Below are 20,307 nucleotides of genomic sequence, written 5' to 3'. Positions count from 1 at the left end.
CTCACACCGCTTAACGCAAGGACTGCTCCTCCCGCTAAAAATGAAAACGACACATTTATTTTCCCTTTTATTCAACACCCTCCCCACCCAGTCTCCCCGCCCCCAAGGGTCCGACACGAAAGGTCCAGGCCCTCCTCGGGCGCGACAGGGAGCCGATCCTTAAAAGCAAACCCTACAAATAAATAAGCGGGGTCGGGGGCGGGGGTCTCTGCAGTCCAGGGCCTACGGTCCAACGGCAGTCAGGTCGAATCAATTCACCAGCAGCGAATGCTCCTCCGAGGGGTCCCTGGAGGAAGGAAGCAGGGAAGAGGGGCGTCAGTTTTCTCTGGCTCGCTCCCCTTTCCCCATTCCCTAACCTCCAATCTGAATGTGCCAGACCCGGGACTCGAACCTTCCGCAGCAGCAGAGAAGGCTGCAGGCCGAGCCGCTCCCGCGGCGGAACTTGCCGGAGGTGGGGCTGTCCTGGCACTGTGCGATGTAGGCCTGCAGCTCGCTCTCCTCTGCGCCTGCGCCGCCGGGATGCTGGGGAGAGAAGCCGGGAGGCTCAGCCTGAAAGTGGCTCCCAACCTCCAAGGCCCTTGAAGTCCGCCCTCCCCTCCAGCCATATCTGCATCGCTTCCCACCTCCGGGCCTTTGCACTTGCTGGGCCTGCTCCACCCGTTGTTCCACAGTTTGCTTGCACAGAGGGACCTTCCCTGACCCCTGAACCTGGATACAAGCTGTGTCTTTGCCAGTCTGTGTCTTTGCCTTCTGCTGTAGGTCCAGCACCTACAGACCTAGAGCCAGGGCTGACATGACCTCGATGCTCAGAAACCATCTATTGAGTGAGCTGGATGCACGCTGAGCACAGCAGTGGGAGCAGGGCCTGAGACTGCCCACCTGAGTGGATGCATGTGTGTGATGTCTACGTGCTAAGGCAAGACAGGAAGTAGTTCCAAGGGCCTGAGTCAATGTGTCTGTGGGACAGCTGAATCCATGCATGGGGAAAAGGGGGTGTACCCATCTGCCGGTGACATTGGATGTGGCAGGGTCCCAGCCAAGGCTTCCTTCCTCTCACTCGGCCTCATGGAGGGGCCATCTTTTCTCCAAGTTTTTTCAGGCTACTAGACCTTTGCTTTAGCTATTCCTTCCCCTCGGTGCACTGCCCCTGGGCTCCCATCTCTTCAGTCTAGAGGCGATGGAAGTATTCAATATCTATGCTGTCCAATATGGCAGCCACCAGCCACACTGGCTTTTGAGCACTGGATACAGGATGGTGCAAGTCAGAGGCTAAATTTGCAATTGTACTTCATTTGAATTAAAATTTTTAAAAAATTGTTGTTTTGTCTTTGAAGCAGAGTCTCGGTCTCTCGCCCACGTTGGAGTGCAGTGGCTTGATCTCGGCTCACTGCAACCTCTACGTCCCAGGTTCAAGCAATTCTACTGCCTCAGCCTCCGGAGTAGCTGGGATTACAGGTGCCTGCCACCACGTCCGCTAATTTTTTGTATTTTTAGTAGAGATGGGGTTTTGCCATGTTGGCCAGGCTGGTCTCGAACTCCTAACCTCAGGTGATCCACCCCCACCCCCCCTCGGCCTCCCAAAGGGCTGGGATTACAGGCGTGAGTCACCGTGCCCAGCCGGAATTAAAATCAAAATTTAAATAGCTGCATAGGGCTAGAGACTAGTGATGGATAGAACATTCTAGAAGCTCTCCTGGATCTCCTGTCATACCAATCTAAAGCAGGGGTCCCTCTGCAACCTTCCACTCTTCCTTCATACCTGTTACAAGTAGGTCATTGGTCATGGGATGTCTGTTCCTGTGCCATCCTTGCCCACAGGCCTTGGACGGATCATGCACACCTGATTTTCCTCCATGCCCAGAACCCAGCACAGATCTTGGCCCTTAGATATATCTGCTGAAAGAATCCTATCTACCTGCCACTTCCGCATCCTGCTCTGTCCCCTGACCCTTGCAGCTTGCAGGGAAACCACTGTTCCCAGCCACCCTACTAAACTGAGGACAGAGGGGTTAGGAGCACGGCTTCTGGAATCAGACAGCCCTGGGTTGAGCCCAGTTTTACTGCTCAGAAGCTAACCTGGGCCGGGCACAGTGGCTCACGCCCGTAATCCCAGCACTTTGGGAGCCTGAGGTGGGCGGATCACAAGGTCAGGAGTTTGAGACCAGCCTGGTCAACATGGTGAAACCCCATCTCTACTAAAAATACAAAAATTAGCCAGGCATGGTGGCGTGTGCCTATAATCCCAGCTACTCAGTAGGCTGAGGCAGGAGAATCGCTTGAACCCGGGAGGCAGAGGTTGCAGTGAGCCGAGATTGCACCACTGCACTCCAGCCTGGGTGACACAGCGAGACTCCGTCTCAAAAAAAATAAATAAATAAAGAAGCTAACCTTGGGCAGGGTCAGAGGGAGTCGGGGGCATGGCTGGGGGCTGGGGTCAGGGTTGGGTTTTTAGAGGTCCGCCATAGGAATGGGGCCAGCTGAGGATCACCATGTTAATGGCAACGTCCCAGGGTCAATGACAAGGTCATTGAAACTGTATGACTTAGCTGGGTTCAGTGGCTCATGCCTGAAATCCCAGCACCTTGGGAGGCCAAGGCAGGTGGATCACCTGAGGTCAGGAGTTCGAGACCAGCCTGGCCAACGTGGTGAAACCCCATCTCTAGTAAAAATACAAAAATTAGCCAGGTGTGGTGGCACGTGCAAGTAATCCCAGCTACTCAGGAGGCTGAGGCACAAGGATCGCTTCAACTCAGAAGGTGGAGGTTGCAGTGAGCCGAGATCATGCCATTGCACTCCAGCCTGGGCCACAGGGTAAGATTCCATTTCAAAAAAAAAATAATAATAATAGGCTGGGTGTGGTGGCTTACGCCTGTAATCCCAGCACTTTGGGAGGCCAAAGTGGGAGGATCACTTGACCTCAGGAGTTTGAAACCAGCCTGGGTAACACAGTGAGACCCTTGTCTCTAATAAAATAAAGAACAATACTTTAATAATAAAATAAAATAGGCCGGGCGTGGTGGCTCACGCCTGTAATCCCAACACTTTGGGAGGCCAAGGCAGTAGATCTCCTGAGGCCAGGAGTTTGAGACCAGCCTGACCAATGCGGTGAAATGCCATCTCTACTAAAAATACAAAAATTAGCTGGACGTGGTGGCGTGTGCCTGTAGTCCCAGCTACTCAGGAGGCTGAGACAGAATTGCTTGAACCCGGGAGGTGGAGGTTGCAGTGAGTCAAGATCGCACCACTGCACTCCACCCTGGGTGACAGAGCAAGACTCCGTCTCAAATAAACAAATAAATAAATAAACTCTATGACTCGGTTGCCCTGTTGGCAAAGACTGACTCAGGCCCCCTCCTGGCCCAAGCCCACCTTGACATCCCCCTGCGCCCCCCAGTTCTGAACCACCCTCTTTTTGGTTTCATAGAGTCTCCCATATTCTCTCCTGGGTCTTCTCTGTTCACCCTGCGGTGTCCCCAAGACCCCCTCATGGCAGACTCCAGGGCACCCAGAGCCCGAGCTCAGGGCTGGGTGCATGCGGCTGACCTTGATGGTGTCGTAGGCGCCGGTGATGAGCGCGATGAAGAGGCTGAGCACCATGTAGATGAAGAGGCTGATGAAGGAGTAAAGGTAGAGCTGGGAGAAGAGCCACACCAGGCTGCTGCGGCCCTGCTGCGCCTGCATGGCGGCGAACGTCACAAACATGTCGTCCCCATTGATGAGCGAGAACAGGCACTCAGACACCATGGAGAGTGAGCGGAACTGCCAGAGGGGCGGCGGGGTCAGAGGGAGCCAAGGCATGGCCAGGAACCGGGGGCTGGGGTCAGGCTGGGGTCCCATGCAAATGGCTAGGAGCTGGTGGCTGGGGCCCCACATGAATGGCCGGGTCCCGGGCTGCGGTCACCATGTGAATGGTCGGGTTCCAGGCTAGGGCCCCTGTGAATGGCCGGGTCCCAGGCTGGGGTCCCACGTGAATGGCCGGGACCCAGGCTGGGGTCCCACGTGAATGGCCGGGTCCCAGGCTGGGGTCACTATGTGAATGGCCAGGTCCCAGGCTGGGGTCCCATGTGAATGGCCGGGACCACGGGTCAATGACAGGGCCACAGGGCCGACCTAGGGTCTGGGTAGATAGAGCAGGAGGGGAGTAATTCAGGTCGAAATAGGGTCATCAACAACTGTGACAACAATAATGGCACAGGGTCAGTGTCAGGGTCACCAAGGACCACAGGGGACAGTGGACAGACTCCCAGCAGTCACCAAGGGGTCATCTGGGGGTCACAGTGTCAATGACAAGGTCACAGGGTCAATGTCAGGGACATCAGGGGTTAGATGTACCTTCACATGATAGGGCCCCAGCACGATCCAGCCACAGAAGCAGTAGCCCAGGTAGATGACAGCCACGCAGCAGCAGAAGCGCATGACGCTGGGCAGGGCCACCCGCAGTGTGGCGATGAGGATCTGGGTTGGGGCAGAGGGAGCCTCGTTGAGGGTGTGGCCACAACTCAGGTCAGCTGTGGGCACCCAGATGGGGGTGGGAGGGGCGGGGCCTTGCCGAGGGCACAGCCGGTGTGGTCATGGGAGCCAGTGGGTGCCTAGAGGGGGCGTGGCCACGTCTGAGGGGGTCCGAGGGCAACGCACGGCTAGACTCAGCTGGGTGGGCACAAAGGAGCAGGCTCCCGGGGCCCCGCGCAGGTGCAGTGACAGATATATCTGGTGTGGGCAGGTAGGAGGAGGAGGCTTGCAAGGGGCCATTGGCCGGGGCTGGTGAGGGCTGCGTGTGTAGGGATTTATTTGGAGGGTGTGGAGTAACCATGTGGAAGGCCCAGCTGCATGTGCAAAACTCACATTGTAGTTGTGGAAGAAGGTCAGGTAGCGGATCACGCCCACCCACACCAGCAGCGTCGAGGTGCCCAGGAGGATGCTGCAGACGTCGTAGCTCGCCAAGTTCTGCGGGTGGGAGCTGCGTCAACCTATCTGGCCCAGCCCTTCCTTTGGGGGGCCTGGGGGAGGATATGGCCCCGGATAGGCACTGACAGCAGGGATGGGACCTGGGGCCCAGGGTGTTGGCAGGACGCACCTTGGCCTCGATGCCGATCTTCATGATGGTGCCCGAGATGGTGAGCACATCGCTGGTGACGAGCAGGATGTACCAGCCATTGACAAATTCCAGCCGCTCCCACAGGCTGATGACCCGTCCCCGCTGCCGCCACATGAACCCCACAAACTCCTGCAGAAGGCAGGCGGGGTGAGGGCCTGACCAGGCACAGGACCCTCAAAGCCCTGGCTTTTATCGCCCCAGGGCCAGGCGGGGAGGACACCAGCACACATGACGCAGAAGCCTCACGTTCTGCAGCAGGAAGCCTCGAAGGAGTGAGCGGGCGCAGAGGAGGAAGGACAGGGAGCAGGTGAGGATGACCACCACGTCAAACAGGAGCCGGAAGCTGTTGTCTCCTGCGGGGAGGGCAGAGCGGGTAGGGCCAAGGATGGCATGGAGCCTTGGGAGGCTAGCATTGGTGCCAGGCCAGGCTGGAGACCTAGGGGGCTGCACGGCTGGTTTTGGTTGGTCAGTGGGCTCAGGGCTTGCTTGGGGTGAGTCAAGAACCCCGGTCAGTGCTGGTCTGGGGCTTGGGGGATCTCAGCACAGGACGGGGTCCCTGGTCTGTGCTGATCTGAGGCTCAGCGGATTCCTGGGGAGGTCACGGCCCCCAGGCAGCGCTGATCTGGGGCTTGGGGAATCCCAGGACAGGCCAGGGCCCCTGGTCAGTGCTGGTCTGGGGCTCAGGGGCTCACCGTGCTGGAAGACACTGGGGTGCTTACACTCCTGGATGTGGGCCTGGGTCTCCAGGCTGATGGGGATCCGCCCACTGTGTGCTTTGTTGTCAAACGTGATCTGTGGGGGCCAGTTGGGGGCAGAGTAAACCTTGGCAGCCCCAAGCCCCAAGGTCCACATGACAGGTGGCCTGACAGACCCCGGGCTCCCTCCCTCATCACCCGCACGCTTGCCCTTGGCCAGTGCTCCCAAGACACTCCCTGACCAGGTCCCTGCCCTGGAACTCAGGAGCCCTGTGGGTTCCCGGGGGGCCTCACCAGGACGCTGAAGGTATAGCAGTCCGGGATCTCATTATTGATGAGGCTCTGGAGGTTAATGGTCTTCAGCCGGAAGTGGATGGTGACATTGACCAGCCTAGGCAGGAGGCTCGGGTGAGGGTCAGGGGCGTCTTCGGGTCCCTTCCGGCCCCAAGTGCCAGCGTCCCCTGCCACGTGCTGACTCTGCAGCTGGCAGGGGAAGTGCTCACCCAGCAGGCACCAGCGCGGGCGGGGGGGCCCTGTCCCCACCTTAGGGAAGTAGTTGCTGGGGTGAGAGTGCCTAGTGTGCTGCCTCCCCCACCCTGGGCCCCCCTCGAGTGAGCAGGCAGTACTTGTGGAATTTGAGCGTGAGGTTCTTGTAACTGGAGCTGCTTTCCAAGAGGGTGAGATCGTCGCTGGGGGGCGGAGGGGGCCGCTCGGGGGGATCCACCTGGATGCAGTCTAAGGACAGGGAGTCAGGGAAGGGCCTCAGGGGGCCGGGGAGGCCAGGCTGGTCTCCCCAGAGTCCCCAGTGGCCTTCTTCCCTGTGCTTCCCCAGGGTTGGGTCATTCCTACAGGCCTGGCACTCTCTGGGCCTGCGGATGTTTTACTGAATGAGCCATATTAAAATATAACATCTGGTGCTTTCTACGTGGCAAGAGTCACACTCACACTAAGCATACTTGTTTTTTTTTTTTTTTTTTTTTTTTGAGACAGGGTCTCACTCTGTCACCCAGGGTGGAGTGCAGCAGCGTGGTCATAGCTTACTGCAGCCTCAACCTCCCGGACTCAAGCGATCCTCCTGCCTCAGCCTCCTGAGTAGCTGGGACCACAGGGGCACGCCACCACGCCCAGCTAATTTGTTTGTGCGTAGAGACAAGGTCTTCCTACGTGGCCCAGGCTGGTCTCAAACTTCTGGCCTCAAGCAATCCTTCCTCCTCAGCCTCCCAAAGTGCTGGTATTATAGGCGTGAGCCACCGTGCCCAGCCACAGCTGTTGATTTTAATCCCAGCAGCTCAGGCTCCCAACAGTGAAGCCTCGTCCTGCCCACTCACCAGTAACCACCATCGGATCAATGTCAAATGTGTCGTTGGCCGGGTCCACGTGGCCTCGGTGGTAGTACCGCTGGCAGAGAGCAAGCCCTGAGCCATTGGTCCAAGGGTCACCCCCACCACGGACATACGCATACCGGCCCAGTGACACGTCAGGCAACGCCAGGTACTGTGGGCAGAGAAGGGGAGGGCCTGTGAGTCCGGCCCGCTCTCTGCAGCCCACCCACCTGCACCTGCCCGCCCACCAGCACCTGCCCGCCCAACTGCACCTGCCCGCCCACCTGCACCTGCCTGCCCACCAGCACCTGCCCGCCCACCAGCACCTGGTCCACAGCATGGAAGATGGCCTGGTACAGCTGCTCCCGCGTGTAGGCTGCGAAGGTGTCATCCGCTCCGTCCGAGTAGCCCAGCAGGAAGAGGTGTCGGAAGGCGATGGTGTTCTCTTCCCGGAATGTCACAGCCAGCTGATTACTGAGCCCAAACAGGATGAGCTGGGGAGAGGGTAGTAGAGGTTGGCATGGCTAGGATGGGGGTTGGGGTGTATCTCCCTCAGGGCACAGGCCCTGGAAGAGGACAGGGAGGGCCCTGCAGATGTCCACTGGGGTGGGGCAGGGCCCTGCTAACTTGGGCCACAAACACGGATTTCACTTGTGCATTTCTTTGCTTTGATTAATTTCACCCCACCTCCTGGCATAAGCTCCATGCCACGCCCACCACTGTGTCCTCCCCCGTACAACACAGGGTGGGGACTCATCTATCTCACTGCAGGGACTAACGTTCATTAAATGTTTACTGGATGTCCGATTCTGTGTTAAACCCAAACTTTCAGGGTAAGTACCATGACTGGGTCCCTTTTCTTTTCTTTTTTGAGACAGAGTCTCACTCTGTTGCCCAAGTTGGAGTGCCATGGTATGATCTCAGCTCACTACAACCTCCACCCCCTGGGTTCAAGCAATTCTCCTGTCTCAGCCTCCTGAGTAGCTGAGTTACAGGTACCTGCCACCAAACCCAGCTAATTTTTGTATTTTTAGTAGAGACGGGGTTTTGCAATGTTGGCCAGGCTGGTCTCAAACTCCTGGCCTCAAATGATCCACCCAACTCAGCCTCCCAAAGTGCTGGCATTACAGGCATGAGCCACCATGCCTGGACAATTGGGTCCCTTTTCAGAGGGAAAATTAGAGGCATGGTGACATGCTAAAGTCAGCCCAAAACATGAAGTAAGCACTTAGGGCAGTGGCTGGGTCTGATTCATCTTGGGGTTCCCAGAGCCCAGCACAGGGTCTGGCATGGGGGAGGGAGAACTATCTGTGCAGCCATTGGGTCAACATGGTGTCAGACTGCCTGGGTTCAAATCCCAGCTCCCAATGTTCTATTGCTGTGTGACTTTGGGCAAGTCTCCTAACCTCTCTGAGCCTCAGAGTCGGCTTCTTTTTTTTTTTGAGACAGTCTTGCTCTGTTGCCCAGGCTGGAGTGCAGTGGCATGATTTCAGCTCACGGCAACCTCCGCCTCCCAATTCAAGCGATTCTCCTGCCTCAGCCTGCCAAGTAGCTGGGATTACAGGCACCCGCCACCACGCACGGCTAATTTTTTTGTATTTTTAGTAGAGATGGGGTTTCACCATGCTGGCCAGACTGGTCTTGAACTCCCAGCCTCAAGCGATCCACCGGCCTCGGCCTTCCAAAGTGCTGCTTTAAGACTCTCTTCAAGGAGCACAGCAGCCACAGGTGGCCTTCAGCTGGGGCCCCTGCTTGGCTGGCCTCACCTGCACCGTGACCACCAGGATCTTGACCACTTGCAGCATCAGCTTGCAGGGCTTGCGGCCCTTGGCTCGAAACTTGTCGCAGGGACTCATGAAAAAGTATTTGAGACGACGGCGAAGGTCTTCCTCTTCTGGGGGTGTCGGAGGGGCCGGTGAAGGCCCCGCCTGGGTCCCATACCCGGGGTTGGGGGTCAGAAGCCGCTCGGTCTCTGTGGGAATAGGAGAGGGCACTGGGGTGAGGCCTGGGCAACTCCCCTTTTCCCCTTTCTCCAACCAGGAAGGCAGCACACGCCCTATCTTCATGTCCCCATGCTCCTGCCAAGGAAGAGCTCTGAGAGGTCTAAAGAAAACCAGAAAACCTGTGACATTGTAGGTATCTATGCACCCGTCCTGCTCAGAGGTTATGAGTTTGGGTTTGGGAGGTACAGGGCCTGGGCTGATTCCTGCCCCTCCTGCTCACCAGCTCTCTGAGCCTCAGTTTCCTCATCTGCGAAATGGGGCAATAATATGTCTCATGGGAACGCTAAGGACTGGATGCTTATGAAGCATTGATCACAGGGGCTGGTCCATGGTGAATGTCAGAACATTTCATCAATGTTCCCGTTATTGATCAGTGGGGAGAGAATGAACTGCTCCCACTGGCTTTTCACTGGGCGTTCAAGCCTGCTGGGCTTATCCCAACTCCAGCTTCCAGACATGAGCATAGAACTCAGCCTGTATTCTAGGTTTGTCTGGACAAATACCCAAAAGATGACCTCTGGGTTCATTATAACCTGGCCCATCAGCTGACACTCTCAGAAGCCAAGGACCTGGAGAAGAGGTAATTGACAACATAAGTAATAATAATGGAACACATTCGCTAAAGACTCATTTTATCTCCCTGAAAAGCACCAGCTCCTAGAAATCATGCAGCCCTAGCATCAAATCCCAGACCTGCCACTTTACAGTAGGTTGACTCCAGGTACCTCCCTGAGCCTCCATCTCCTCATCTGAAGAGTGGAAATTTTAAAAAGGCGACCCCTTGGCTGGGCTCAGTGGCTCATGCCTGTTATCCCAACGGCTTTGGGAGGCCAAGGTGGGAGGATCCAGCCTAGGTAATACAGCGAGACCTCCCTGTCTACAAAAAAAAAACATTTTTTTTAAATAGTCAGGTGTGACGGCTCATGCCCGTAGTTAGTAGCTGGGACCCCATCTACCCGGGAGGCTGAGTTGGGAGGATCACTTGAGCCCAGGAGTTCGATGTTACAATGAGCTAGGATTATGCCACTGCACTACAGCCTGGGCAACAAAAAAAAGTTTATTAAAAAAAAAAAAAGTCCACCCTCTCCCTGAGCCTTGAGGTTGAGATCCTGAAGCTGCTCTGAGAATTCAGTGAGACACAGCAGATAAAGACCTCTTCAGCAAACACAAGCTGTTCTAATCACTGTTTATTTTTTTCCAGCCTAATGGTTAGATCTAAGCTTTCAGCAACTGCTGGAGTCAAAACCAGTCACAGTAGCCCAAAACTGTCCCTGTCACACCCCCATGGGGATGTGCTTTCTAGGGCCTGGCCCCGTGCTGCTTTCTAGGGCCTGGCCTCCTGCCTAGCAAAGCAGTCAGGATAAATGTGTGCACTGTCAGAACCTCCCTTGCAGAGAGGGACAAGTTCCCGGCCCCTCCCTTTGCAATGAGATGCTGCTGTGGCTGTTTACGACAAAGCCAGAGGGCAGGGCCCGCTTACAGAGCTGAGATTACAGCTAACCCACCCCAGACCCTACTAGCTGGGACACCGGGACATCTATCAGGTAGGGGTCCCCAGCTAGCTCCAGAAGGGGAAGCTAACACAAGGGGTCTTCCTCCAGCCTCCCCGAGGAGGGGTGGCATCAGAATTGGCTAGAAGCCCGAATTTAAGAAGGCTGCGCTTCCAGCGGTTTGGAAAGCTAAAACTGAGTTAATCGCCTGGGGGCAATCCCTCCAGCTCTCCAGGCTTGAGCTTAGGGAAGCTGAGCATTTGTCCCCTGGAATCAGGAGGGGAAGCCTGGGAGTCTCACGTGCGGGTTGGAGAAGCTGGTGCCCGCTGTCTGAGTTCCAGACGAAGTTGAGCAATCGGAACCTAGGCTCCCAGTGGGAATCCCAGGAACCTCGCCGCCCCAGAGGGAGAAGCTGGCGGCCCGGCGCGATCCCTGCCTGAGTTTGGGAACCCAGCAGAGCCTGGGTTCAGGAGGAAGAATTGGAGAGGCTGGTGCCCACCCGCCGCCCAAGTTCTAGGAGCCGTCTGCCCTTTTCTCCACCGTGAAAAGTCAGCGCTGGAGCTTAGAAAAAAAGAGACTAGGAGCTCCGCCGCCCCAGGTGGGAGACACAGCCCGCCCGCCTGAGTTCGGGGCCCCACGGTGCCGCCCGCGCCCTCACCTGAGCCGCGCGGACCCGCCGGGGCTGTCATGCTGGGGCGGGAGCGCGGGACGCAGGCGGGTACGGCGGGGCAGCCTGGGTCCGATCGCCCGCCGCTGTCACTGCGACCTCGCTCCCTCGCGGCGCGGCTTCAAACCCTCCGGCATCAGCTGATCTGTGCCTCGGTCACGTGACCCGGTAGCCCAGAGCCCCTCACGTGACCGCCTCTGGTCCCGCCCCCTGCGCCACGACAACCCCTGCCGGAACAGCGCGCATGCGTGCCTCTGCCGGCGCCCTCTGGGTCGAAGGCAGTCGCTAGGTCCTAGCGCCGACGCGCTCTGGGTGGCGGGGGATGGGCTGACTCTGAGTTTGGCAACGACGAGCTCTGCCCTGGCTCCCGGCCATGCCCCGAATCCGGTGCCAGGCTTGTGACTTCCATGTCCAGAGCTTGACCCCTTATCCTCCTTGGTGCCTGGTGATGACCCTGCCTACTATCTCAACGCTGTCTTCCTCTTTCTCCCAGAAACTCCTTTTACCCTTCTCCTGCGCATCTTCAGCAAACACGATTTCCTAATTATGTATCAAATAGAACCACTTATCCCCACCCCATGGCCCCCAGCCCAGAGTCTTCCAACATTCCTGGCCTGGATCTTTGCAGCAACCTCCTCCCCGATCTCAGCCTCCCTCCACTCCACTCTCTACCCAGCAGCCACAAGCATCTTCAAAGAATAATTCCTATCCTTCCTGCGAGAACCTGCCCTCGGCTTCCCATTGCTCTGTAATGACAGGCAGAGTCCCCACTCTCGTCTATCAGGGCCCTCTGATCTGGCTCCTACCTCCATCCAAAGCTCATCTTTCTATAGCCCCAGAGCCTTTGCATACTTTTGCCCTGGAGCGTAATGGTTAAGAATTTGGACCCTGGAGGGCAATTGGGATTTAAATCTAGGCACTGACAATGCCACTTCTACATCTTCCAGAGTCCCTTCAACTCCAAGCTGAGCGCAGTGGGCGGTGGCATGCACCGGCAATCCCAGCTACTCGGGAGGCTAAGGTGGGAGGATCGCTTGAGCCCAGGAGGTCGAGGCTGCAGTGAGCTATGATCACACCACTGCACTCCAGCCTGGGCAACAGAGCAAGACTGTCTAAAAAAAAAAAAAAAAATGTGCCTCAATTTTCTCATTTGCAAAATGGGGATATTCAAAGTCATCTACCTACTGGGGCTGTTGAGAGGATTAAATGAGAGAATGCAAAAACTATCGCATAAGGCTGGGCAAACAGTACTGATTATTAAATTAGTGATTATTGGGATTACAAAATCCTTCATTGAGAAAGCTGCCTGCCATTTATATCAGAAGTCTTGTTATGCTTCTCCTAGAATGTACTATACCCCGTAATTATTTTTTAAGTATTCTGAATTTAGTATCTATGAGCTCCATGCAGGTCGAGGCCATATTTATCTTGTTCCCTGCTGAGACCCCAGCAATCCAGAGATGTTTGTTGATTGCATAAATGAGCAACTTTTTTTGTCCACTTGTATACCTACTGTATGGGCTTTGAAGAGCAAGGGGTAAGTGAGAGGAACAGAGAGTGGTGACTAGTGGGATGGACCAGGATGAGACACTGTGGGTTAAGCTGGAAAGTCTAGCTGGTGGGCCCAAGAAGGAAGCCAGGACACTGGAGCTCCAGATTGTGGCTGGCCCTGGCCACAATGTCCCATCTCCGGAGCAAGGGGCTGTGCTCAGAAAGAAAGCACAAAAGGCAAGCCACGACACAGAGCCCGGAGGCAGTGGGAGGATTTTACTGACTGCACAACACACAACTTCCCCAGGCCCCCGAGGATGCCGGCGTCTCCTTCAGCCATCAGGCCCCAGCAGTGCCCCTTGCTCCTGTACCCACTCTGGACTCTCGCCGGTAGGGAGGGCTGGGCTGACAGTGCCACGAGTGGGAGAACAGGGGTCAGGGCAGGACACAGGGTTGGGATCAGGGCTGGGCACAGGATCAGGGTCTGGGCTGGGCACAGGATCAAGGTCTGGGCTGGGCACAAGGTCGGGACCAGCGTCGTGCCCAGCCTTTGGGTCAGAAGATTCCACAGGAGTAGGGCTGGGGGTGGATCTGGAGCCGGGGAGGGGTTTGGAGCTGGGATCCGGCAGAGTGCCCGGCCCAGAGCCAGGGTCAGGGTTGCGGCCAGAGCTGGTGCCAGGGCTGAGGCCCAAGCCAGAGCCGAGCACAGAAACAGCATCAGGACCCAGGAGGGAGACCTGCCCCGGCCTCATCATGGATGCAGGGCTTAGGCCAGGCCCGAGGCCCAGGCCGGCGGCCGCTGCTGCAGCTGCAGCGGCCGCGGCAGCTGCAGCAGCGGCTGCACCCTCATGCACCCGTTTGTGCTTGGTGAGGCTGGAGGCCTGGCCGAAGGCCTTCCCGCAGAGCTGACAGCGATAGGGACGCTCGCCCGAATGCACGTGCAGGTGCTGGAGCAGCGCTGAGCTCTGGCCGAAGGCCTTGGAGCAGTGCGGGCAGGCGTAGGGCCGCTCGCCCGTGTGGATGCGCAGGTGGTGTTGCAAGTTGGAGCTCTGCCCGAAGGCTTTGCCGCAGTGGGGGCAGCGGTAGGGGCGCTCGGCCGTGTGTGTGCGCTGGTGCTGCAGCAGCGCCGAGCTCTGCCCGAAGGCCTTGCCGCACTGCGGACACGGGTAGGGCCGCTCGCCCGTGTGCGTGCGCAGGTGTTTGAGCAGCGCAGAGCCCTGGCCGAAGCCCTTGGCGCACACCGGGCACTTGTGGGGCCGCGGGCCGCCGTGCGTGCGCAGGTGCTGTGCCAGGAGCGAGCCGTGCCCGAAGGCCTTGCCACACACCGGGCAGTGGTGCGGCTTCTCCCCGCTGTGGCTGCTGCGATGTTTCAGCAGCGTGGAGCGCCAGCCGAAGGCCTTGCCGCAGGCCGCGCACTGGTACGGCCGCGCCCCAGTGTGGATGCCACGGTGCTGAGCCAGGGTGGCACCGTGGCTGAAGGACTTCCCGCAGTCGGGGCAGCGGTACGGCTTCTCGCCGCTGTGCGTGCGGCGATGCTGGCTCAGCCCGGAGCTGCGGCGGAAGGCTCGCCCGCAATCCGGGCAGGAGAAGGGCCGGGGCGGGCTGGCGGGGGCGGGGAGCACCGCGGGGCTGGTGGCCAAGACCTGGGGGGTGGCAGTGAGGCCAGAGGAGATGGGGTCCACTTTTGGATCGCCGGGGCTGAGGGTGTCGCTGTTAGGATCGAGAATCAGGGGTACGGGGCCAATCACATCTGGATCGAGGTCGAAACTCGAAGACATGGGGTCGGGATCTTGGGGTTCCGAGCCCGGAGCTTCGGCGTCGGGGTCCAGATCCTCCGAGACGGGCTCCAGATCTTCATAGCTGGGGTCCACGTCTTCCGGGACAGTGTTGAGGTCTTCAGGATCAGGCTCTGGGTCTTCAGAAACCGGGTCCAGATCTTCAGGATTGGGGTCTAGGTCCTCGGAGTCAGAGTCGAGCTCTTCATAAACGGGTCTCAGGCCTTTGTGGCCTGGGTTCCTGACCAGGACTGAGCGCCGCATTTCAGGCGTGGATGTGCCCGCAGCTTCTGGGGCAAGACCTGCAAGGGCAAGGATAGAGGGTAGAGGGTAGGTGGGTTCTGTGGGAGCGGGGGTGTCTTTTGGAGTCTGGTTAGGGATGAGAGACGGGACCCGATTGTGCCCCCAGAACCCACTTCTTTTTTTTTTTTTTTTTTTTTTTGAGATGGGGTCTCGTTCTGTTGCCAAGGCTGGAGTGCAAAGGTACCATCTCGGCTCACTGCAACCTCCGCCTCCCAGGTTCAAACAACTCTCCTGCCTCAGCCTCCTGAGTAGCTGGGATTACAGGTGTCCACCACCATGCCTGGCTAATTTTTGTATTTTTAGTAGAGATGGGATTTCAGCATGTTAGACAGGCTGGTCTCAAACTCCTGACCTCAGGTGATCTGCATGCCTCAGCCTCCCAAAGTGCTGGGATTACAGGCGTGAGCCACCGCGCCCAGCCCCACTTCTTTATTTTTATTTTTTTGAGATGGGGTCTCACTCTGTCACCCAGGCTAGAGTGCAGTGATGTGATCATACATAGCTCACTGCAGACTGGAACTCCCGGGCTCAAGCGATCCTCCCACCTCGGCCTCTCAAGTAGCTGGAATTACAGATGCACCACCACACTCAGCTAACTTCAATTCTTTCTTTCTTTCTTTCTTTCTTTCTTTCTTTCTTTCTTTCTCTCTCTCTCTCTTTCTTTCTTTCTTTCCTTCCTTCCTTCTTTTCCTTCCTTCTCTCTCTTCTTCCTTCTTTCCTTCCTTCTTTCCTTTCTCTCTCCCTCTGTCTCTCTTTTTTGAGATGGGGTGTCGCTATGTTGCCCAGGCTGGTATCAAACTCCTGGACTCAAGCAAACCTCTGGCCTTGGCCTCAGAAAGTGCTGGGATTACAGGCATGAGCCACTGTGCCTGGCCAAACCCCACTCACTTCTGAGCATACACGTGGATCCTTCCCTTGTCTCTGACTGCAAGGAGATTTCTGACTTACCCCAGCCAGGGCAGGGAGTTGAGGGAACCAGGTGGGACATGGTAGGACCCTCCCCTCTCAGCCCCAAACCTGGACGGAGGTCATGAGACCCAGCACTAGAGGTTTCTAGTCCCCAACTCCATGGCTCTGCACCTCTCTCCAACCTGGGCTCCTCTTGTGGGAAGCTGGGGTCCTGTGGAGGAGACAGTCCTAGCTTCCTACCCCCTTGCTGGGCGTCCCCACATGGGGAACAGTGTGGGTGTCAGCGTTTCTGTGCTCCTGAGCACATGGCCTGAATTCTTGTCCCATACTTGGAGGCGGCAGATTAATTTAGGGGGCGAGTTCTGGTAGGGAGGCCCCCCTCCAGCAGCAGCATTCTGAGCTCTAGAACCCATGTCTGGGGGATAAGAATATGGAACAAATAACATCAGGTATCCCTCCCAAGTCACTGGGGAAAGACAAGAAGACTCTGGCTTGCCCTCTGGGGAAAAGAAAACCTGAATTCCAGAGCTCACAGCTCCAGGTGGGAGTCAGTGTCAAATCCTCTCTCTTAGACAGATCGGAAATGCCCTTTCCTACAGCCAGATAGTGAGCATGGTAGAGTGATATTTGGGACCCCTCCTGGTGAGGAGGGATGGGTAGGGAGACTCATGAACCCCATAGGCAGGATGGTGGGGACAGTTGTTAGTATACCTGTTTTATTTATTTATTTATGTTTGAGATGGGGTCTTGGTATGTTGCCCAGGCTGGACTCAAACTCCTGGGCTCAAATGATCCTCCCACCTCAGCCTCCCAAAGTATGGTGATTACAGGCATGAGCCACCATGCCCGGCCAGTATACCTGTTTTCCCTATTGGCTAGAAGGTCCTGCATTTTAACTTCTAGCTGGAGGATAGGCAAAAATAATACCTGGGGACCCTCTGAAGTTAATGGGGGAACGCCTGAGTCATCTCCTCCCATGGCTGGGACATGGCGGGTAGTGTCAGCACACTTGTAGCCCTTCCTGCAGGAAGGATCCTGAACTGAATTGCCAGCTTGTGGCTAGGGGCAGACTGGGAGGTAGAGGGACAAAAGCTGGAACCACTTCTGGGGAGCAATGGGAGCCCAGGATGACCTGCCGGGAGGATGCCTTGAGCTCCCCACCCCATGGCTGGGTGTTGAGGTGTCAACAATGAATGATCTGCTCCTGGGAGAAGCTGTGGGGGGACCTGTGGCTCCCCTTCTGGGGAAAGGAATACACTGAGCCACAACCCCATAGCTGGGAGTGTGCAGGCAAACAGAGCCGAGTTCCTGGACGGCGGTCCTCAACCCAGACCCCATAGTTGGAGAGTGGGGGAAACAAGACCTGGGACCCCTCCTGCATCAGGGGCAGAGGAACCCTTAGATTGCCTCCAGGGGAAGGAGCCCCCTGAATTCCCATCTCTTAACTGGAAGGTGGGAGGAGAAATCACTTAAGTCTTTCCTGAGTTCCCAGGGGTGAGGGCAGGTGGACCCCTGGATCACCTCCAGGGAAAGGAGCTTCCAGAACTGCAGACCCCAAGACTGGAGGGGCAAGGGAACAATCGCTGGGACCCTTCCTAGGGTCCTGGGGGAAGAGGGAACCCCTAGGTCCCCCTTTTGAGGACAGGGCCTCCTGAACTCCAGACCCCAGGCGGGAGGTGGGAACAATACCTCGAATCAGGAGGGGAGGGGGTCCTGGATCGCCTCCTAGGGAGGGGGCGTCCTGAGCTCCAGACCCCAGAGCTGGCGGGCGCCCCCCACCCCGCCCGATTGAAGGCTCCCAACCTCCTGGCCCTTTCCCCCCGGGCCCCAGCGGCGGGATGGGTGCGCTAGGCCGGAGCTGGCCGCAGAGTCCCCTCCCCATCGCTCCCGCGACCCCCGCTCGCCTGGGCCAGGGCCGGCGGCGCGCAGGGCGGGGGACGATTAGAGGTCGCCCCGGGCTGCGCCCCGCGCCTGGAGCTCCCCCGCCCGCCCGCCCCCCACCCAGCCCCCCGCCCCGGCCCCAGCCCGCTCGCAGGGACACTCACCCGGCGCCCCTCGCCCCTGCCCGGCCCGCCGCGCCCGCGCCGGCCGCCGGCTCCCCCCGGGCCCGCAGGAAGCCCCCCGCCCGCCAGCCCCGCCGGCGGCCCCCTCGGCCCAGCGGCCCCGCCAGGCGCTCCCGGGGAGCGAGAGGGGCCGGCCGAGGGCCGCAGCGGGAGCTGCTGGGACTTGTAGTTCGCCCGCGCCCGCCGCGGCCGTCGCCATCGCTGCCCCCGCCCCCCGGGCAGGCCTTTGTCCCCGGCCAGGCCACCCCGACCGCGCGGCCGCGCCTTTGTCTGCACCGTGCCCCGCCCGCACGCAGCCCTGGCCCCATCCCTAGTCTCCTCCTGGGCCTGTCTCAGTCCCTCTGTGGCCCTGGCCCTATCTCTTTCTCTCCATCCCTGTCCCTCTCTCTGTCTCTCTCCGTCCCTATCTCTCTATCTCTGTTCATTCTCTGTCTCTGTCCCTGTCTTCCCATCTCTGTTCCTTTCTCTGTGTCTCTGTCCCCATCTCTTTCTCTGTGTTCCAATCTCTTTGCCTCTGTTGCTTTCTCTGCCTCTATCTCTCTCTGTGTCTGTCTGTCTCTCTCTCTCTGTCTCTGCCTCCTGCCCATGTCTCTGACTCTATCTTTGTTCGTAAAACTCTACACATGTTGTTCTTGGAGACTTGCAGCGCACATAGGCACAGCCAAGCCTCTCAGCTCTGCAATCTAAAAACATGTCTATTTTTGCTTAACCTGGCCTTCCTCCAATTTTTCCTTTTTGCATGGTGAAACCCGTCACCCTTTCTGGGTAACACCCGCCAAGGCACAGATTTGGGATATTCCTCCTCTAGTGTTTTCAGCCTCCTACCCAGATGGTGGGTCACCGCTGTCCCTGGAGGCCTCCAAGTGCTAGATGTGAGTGATGGTTTCCGGAGAACCCTACGCCGGGCCGGGAAGGGCTCGGGGCAAACTTTCCTTGGAGACACAGATCCCCGCTGCCAGCCAGGAGAGAGAGTGGAAATCAGCTCCTGATGGCTGGGCCGCGATGTTCTCCACTAAATATAAACAATGGTCACAGAATATAAACAATGATGAGGCAAGGCCACTCTGTGACCATGTCTGAACCAAGATAGAGACATGGGCCCTGTGCAACCACAAAAATGAGTTCTCATCCCCCTCTCCAAGTGAACACAAATGACTGCCACTTCTTACCGACGACAATTCCAACCCAACTGCCATCCTCCCACCTCTGAGACAAAAATCACTGAAATACCTAGTCAGCAAAGCGCTCCCAGGTTCCCGACAATACCACCCTAGTAATTCTCTGTAAAACCACCCAGTATAGGCTGGGTGCGGTAGCTCATGCCTGTAATCCCAGCACTTTGGGAGGCCAAGGCGGGTGGATCTTGAGGTCAGGAGTTTGAGACCAGCCTGGCCAGCATGGTGAAATCCTGTCTCTACTAAAAATACAAAGATTAGCCAGGCGTGGTGGCAGGCACCTGTAATCCCAGCTACTCGGGAGGCTGAGGCAGGAGAATTGCTTGAACCCAGGAGGTGGAGGTTGCAGTGAGCCGAGATTGCACCACTGCACTCCAGCCTGGGCAACAGAGCGAGACTCCGTCTCAAAAACAAAAACAAAACAAAAAATGCAAACCACCAAGTACAAGCCCAAATTCTATAAGATACTCCTCTGTCCCCATGTCCTCCTTATAGAGACACCCTATGGTTCCTTCTTCCTTCCTGAACCTTCTAGATGTGTGTTAGACTCAGCCTGAGACCTGCTTTCCATCTTTCCGCAGAGCCCACAGCAGATCTGAGAGATTGGAGATAACTTCAATTGGATTATGCCCCTGGTTCCTTATCCTGACACTTCCTGGATGATCCCATTACAAATACATGTGATGACATCTGTTGTTTCTTTGGCTCAGAATCTAACAGTACTTTCTTTTCCTTTGTGGGGTCCCCTCCACTACTCCAGATGCACATGTGTCTAACACCCCTTCCCAGTCCCACGTGAGCTGGACTCTAATCAAAGGGCCCCTATCCCCTGGCCACAATAATTAGGTATGGGTTGAGAAGGTGACATTGGAGGTTCTCACTCTACTTCTGGGGTTATGAGCCACAGGGGGCTCATTCTGCCTGCAGCCACTTTCCCCAGTTGTTCAAAAGAACGGTCTGCAGACTGAGGACAATATGCACCAAGATGTACAAGTAAGAGTCAGAGAGATAGCTCTGGCTATATTTGTTGAGCTCCTGGATATAGCCGTACCTGAAGCCACAGAACTCATTCTTTCCTGTACCACAAACCAACAAATGTTCTGGGTGTTTGAGCTGGTTTTAGTGGATGTCTGTTCTTTGCATCCGTGACAGTCTTGACTAATTTAGGAATTATTACCTGGAAAGGAAAGAGTAATAAAAAAAATCTTTTAAAAAAAACCCTAAAATGTGGAACAAACTAAAGAAAGATGGGATAGAGAGCCAGGGTTGCCACATACATGGACTATAAAGTGAATAGGGCACCTTAAGTTATGCAATGC

At 57.0% G+C, this 20,307-nt stretch overlaps 2 protein-coding genes and 1 long non-coding RNA gene across 7 annotated transcripts, besides 2 other annotated features; 1 reads left to right on the top strand and 2 right to left on the bottom strand.

The window, feature by feature from the left end:
- Positions 36–11,421, bottom strand: MCOLN1 (mucolipin TRP cation channel 1). Its single transcript, NM_020533.3, has 14 exons — positions 11,264–11,421; positions 8,879–9,084; positions 7,439–7,606; positions 7,119–7,284; positions 6,417–6,525; positions 6,085–6,181; positions 5,788–5,887; positions 5,342–5,448; positions 5,075–5,224; positions 4,843–4,944; positions 4,333–4,455; positions 3,544–3,759; positions 392–522; positions 36–286 (listed from the first exon to the last, which is right to left on the bottom strand). Exons 1-14 carry the CDS (start codon positions 11,292–11,294, stop codon positions 250–252), a joined length of 1,743 nt encoding a protein of 580 aa, NP_065394.1. The 5' UTR covers positions 11,295–11,421; the 3' UTR covers positions 36–249.
- On the top strand, positions 9,081–19,692 carry LOC105372261 (uncharacterized). 2 transcript variants are annotated; one of them, XR_936294.3, is made up of 3 exons: positions 9,081–9,695; positions 10,883–11,203; positions 19,570–19,692. It is a non-coding gene; the product is annotated as an uncharacterized LOC105372261 (long non-coding RNA). The 2 variants fall into 2 exon arrangements; XR_936293.3 differs by lacking the exon at positions 19,570–19,692 and adding an exon at positions 12,220–12,324.
- Positions 11,258–11,387: a silencer, noted in NCBI's record as "silent region_9986". NCBI's record gives its function as "represses an Ori minimal core promoter by ATAC-STARR-seq in GM12878 lymphoblastoid cells {active_cell/tissue: GM12878}" and the evidence as "EXISTENCE:reporter gene assay evidence [ECO:0000049][PMID:35858748]".
- On the bottom strand, positions 13,020–20,165 carry ZNF358 (zinc finger protein 358). Of its 4 annotated transcripts, none has more exons than XM_047438181.1 (2): positions 20,040–20,165; positions 13,020–14,840 (listed from the first exon to the last, which is right to left on the bottom strand). In XM_047438181.1, exons 1-2 carry the CDS (start codon positions 20,056–20,058, stop codon positions 13,096–13,098), a joined length of 1,764 nt encoding a protein of 587 aa, XP_047294137.1. In that variant the 5' UTR covers positions 20,059–20,165; the 3' UTR covers positions 13,020–13,095. The 4 variants fall into 4 exon arrangements, with proteins under 4 accessions (XP_047294137.1, XP_005272517.1, NP_060553.4 ...); XM_005272460.4 differs by lacking the exon at positions 20,040–20,165 and adding an exon at positions 18,639–18,793; NM_018083.5 differs by lacking the exon at positions 20,040–20,165 and adding an exon at positions 17,796–17,942.
- Positions 17,861–18,110: a silencer, noted in NCBI's record as "silent region_9985". NCBI's record gives its function as "represses an Ori minimal core promoter by ATAC-STARR-seq in GM12878 lymphoblastoid cells {active_cell/tissue: GM12878}" and the evidence as "EXISTENCE:reporter gene assay evidence [ECO:0000049][PMID:35858748]".
- Positions 20,166–20,307: the final 142 nt, after the last annotated feature.

Source organism: Homo sapiens, chromosome 19 (assembly GCF_000001405.40).
Source record: "Homo sapiens chromosome 19, GRCh38.p14 Primary Assembly".
Taxonomy (NCBI): Eukaryota; Metazoa; Chordata; class Mammalia; order Primates; family Hominidae; genus Homo; species Homo sapiens.
The sequence above is the reverse complement of the archived record's forward strand: the minus strand, read 5'-3'. Positions and strand labels throughout refer to the sequence as shown.

What these genes read in the sequence shown, in the direction of transcription:
- MCOLN1 (NM_020533.3), bottom strand. Translation starts at nt 11,294, where the DNA reads ATGACAGCCCCGGCGGGTCCGCGCGGCTCAG. An exon ending in CTCACGCTCAAATTCCACAA is followed by an intron (nt 6,182 to 6,416) that starts GTACTGCCTGCT and finishes CCTCCTGCCTAG; the next exon opens with GCTGGTCAATGTCACCATCC. An exon ending in AGATCGGCATCGAGGCCAAG is followed by an intron (nt 4,945 to 5,074) that starts GTGCGTCCTGCC and finishes TCCCACCCGCAG; the next exon opens with AACTTGGCGAGCTACGACGT.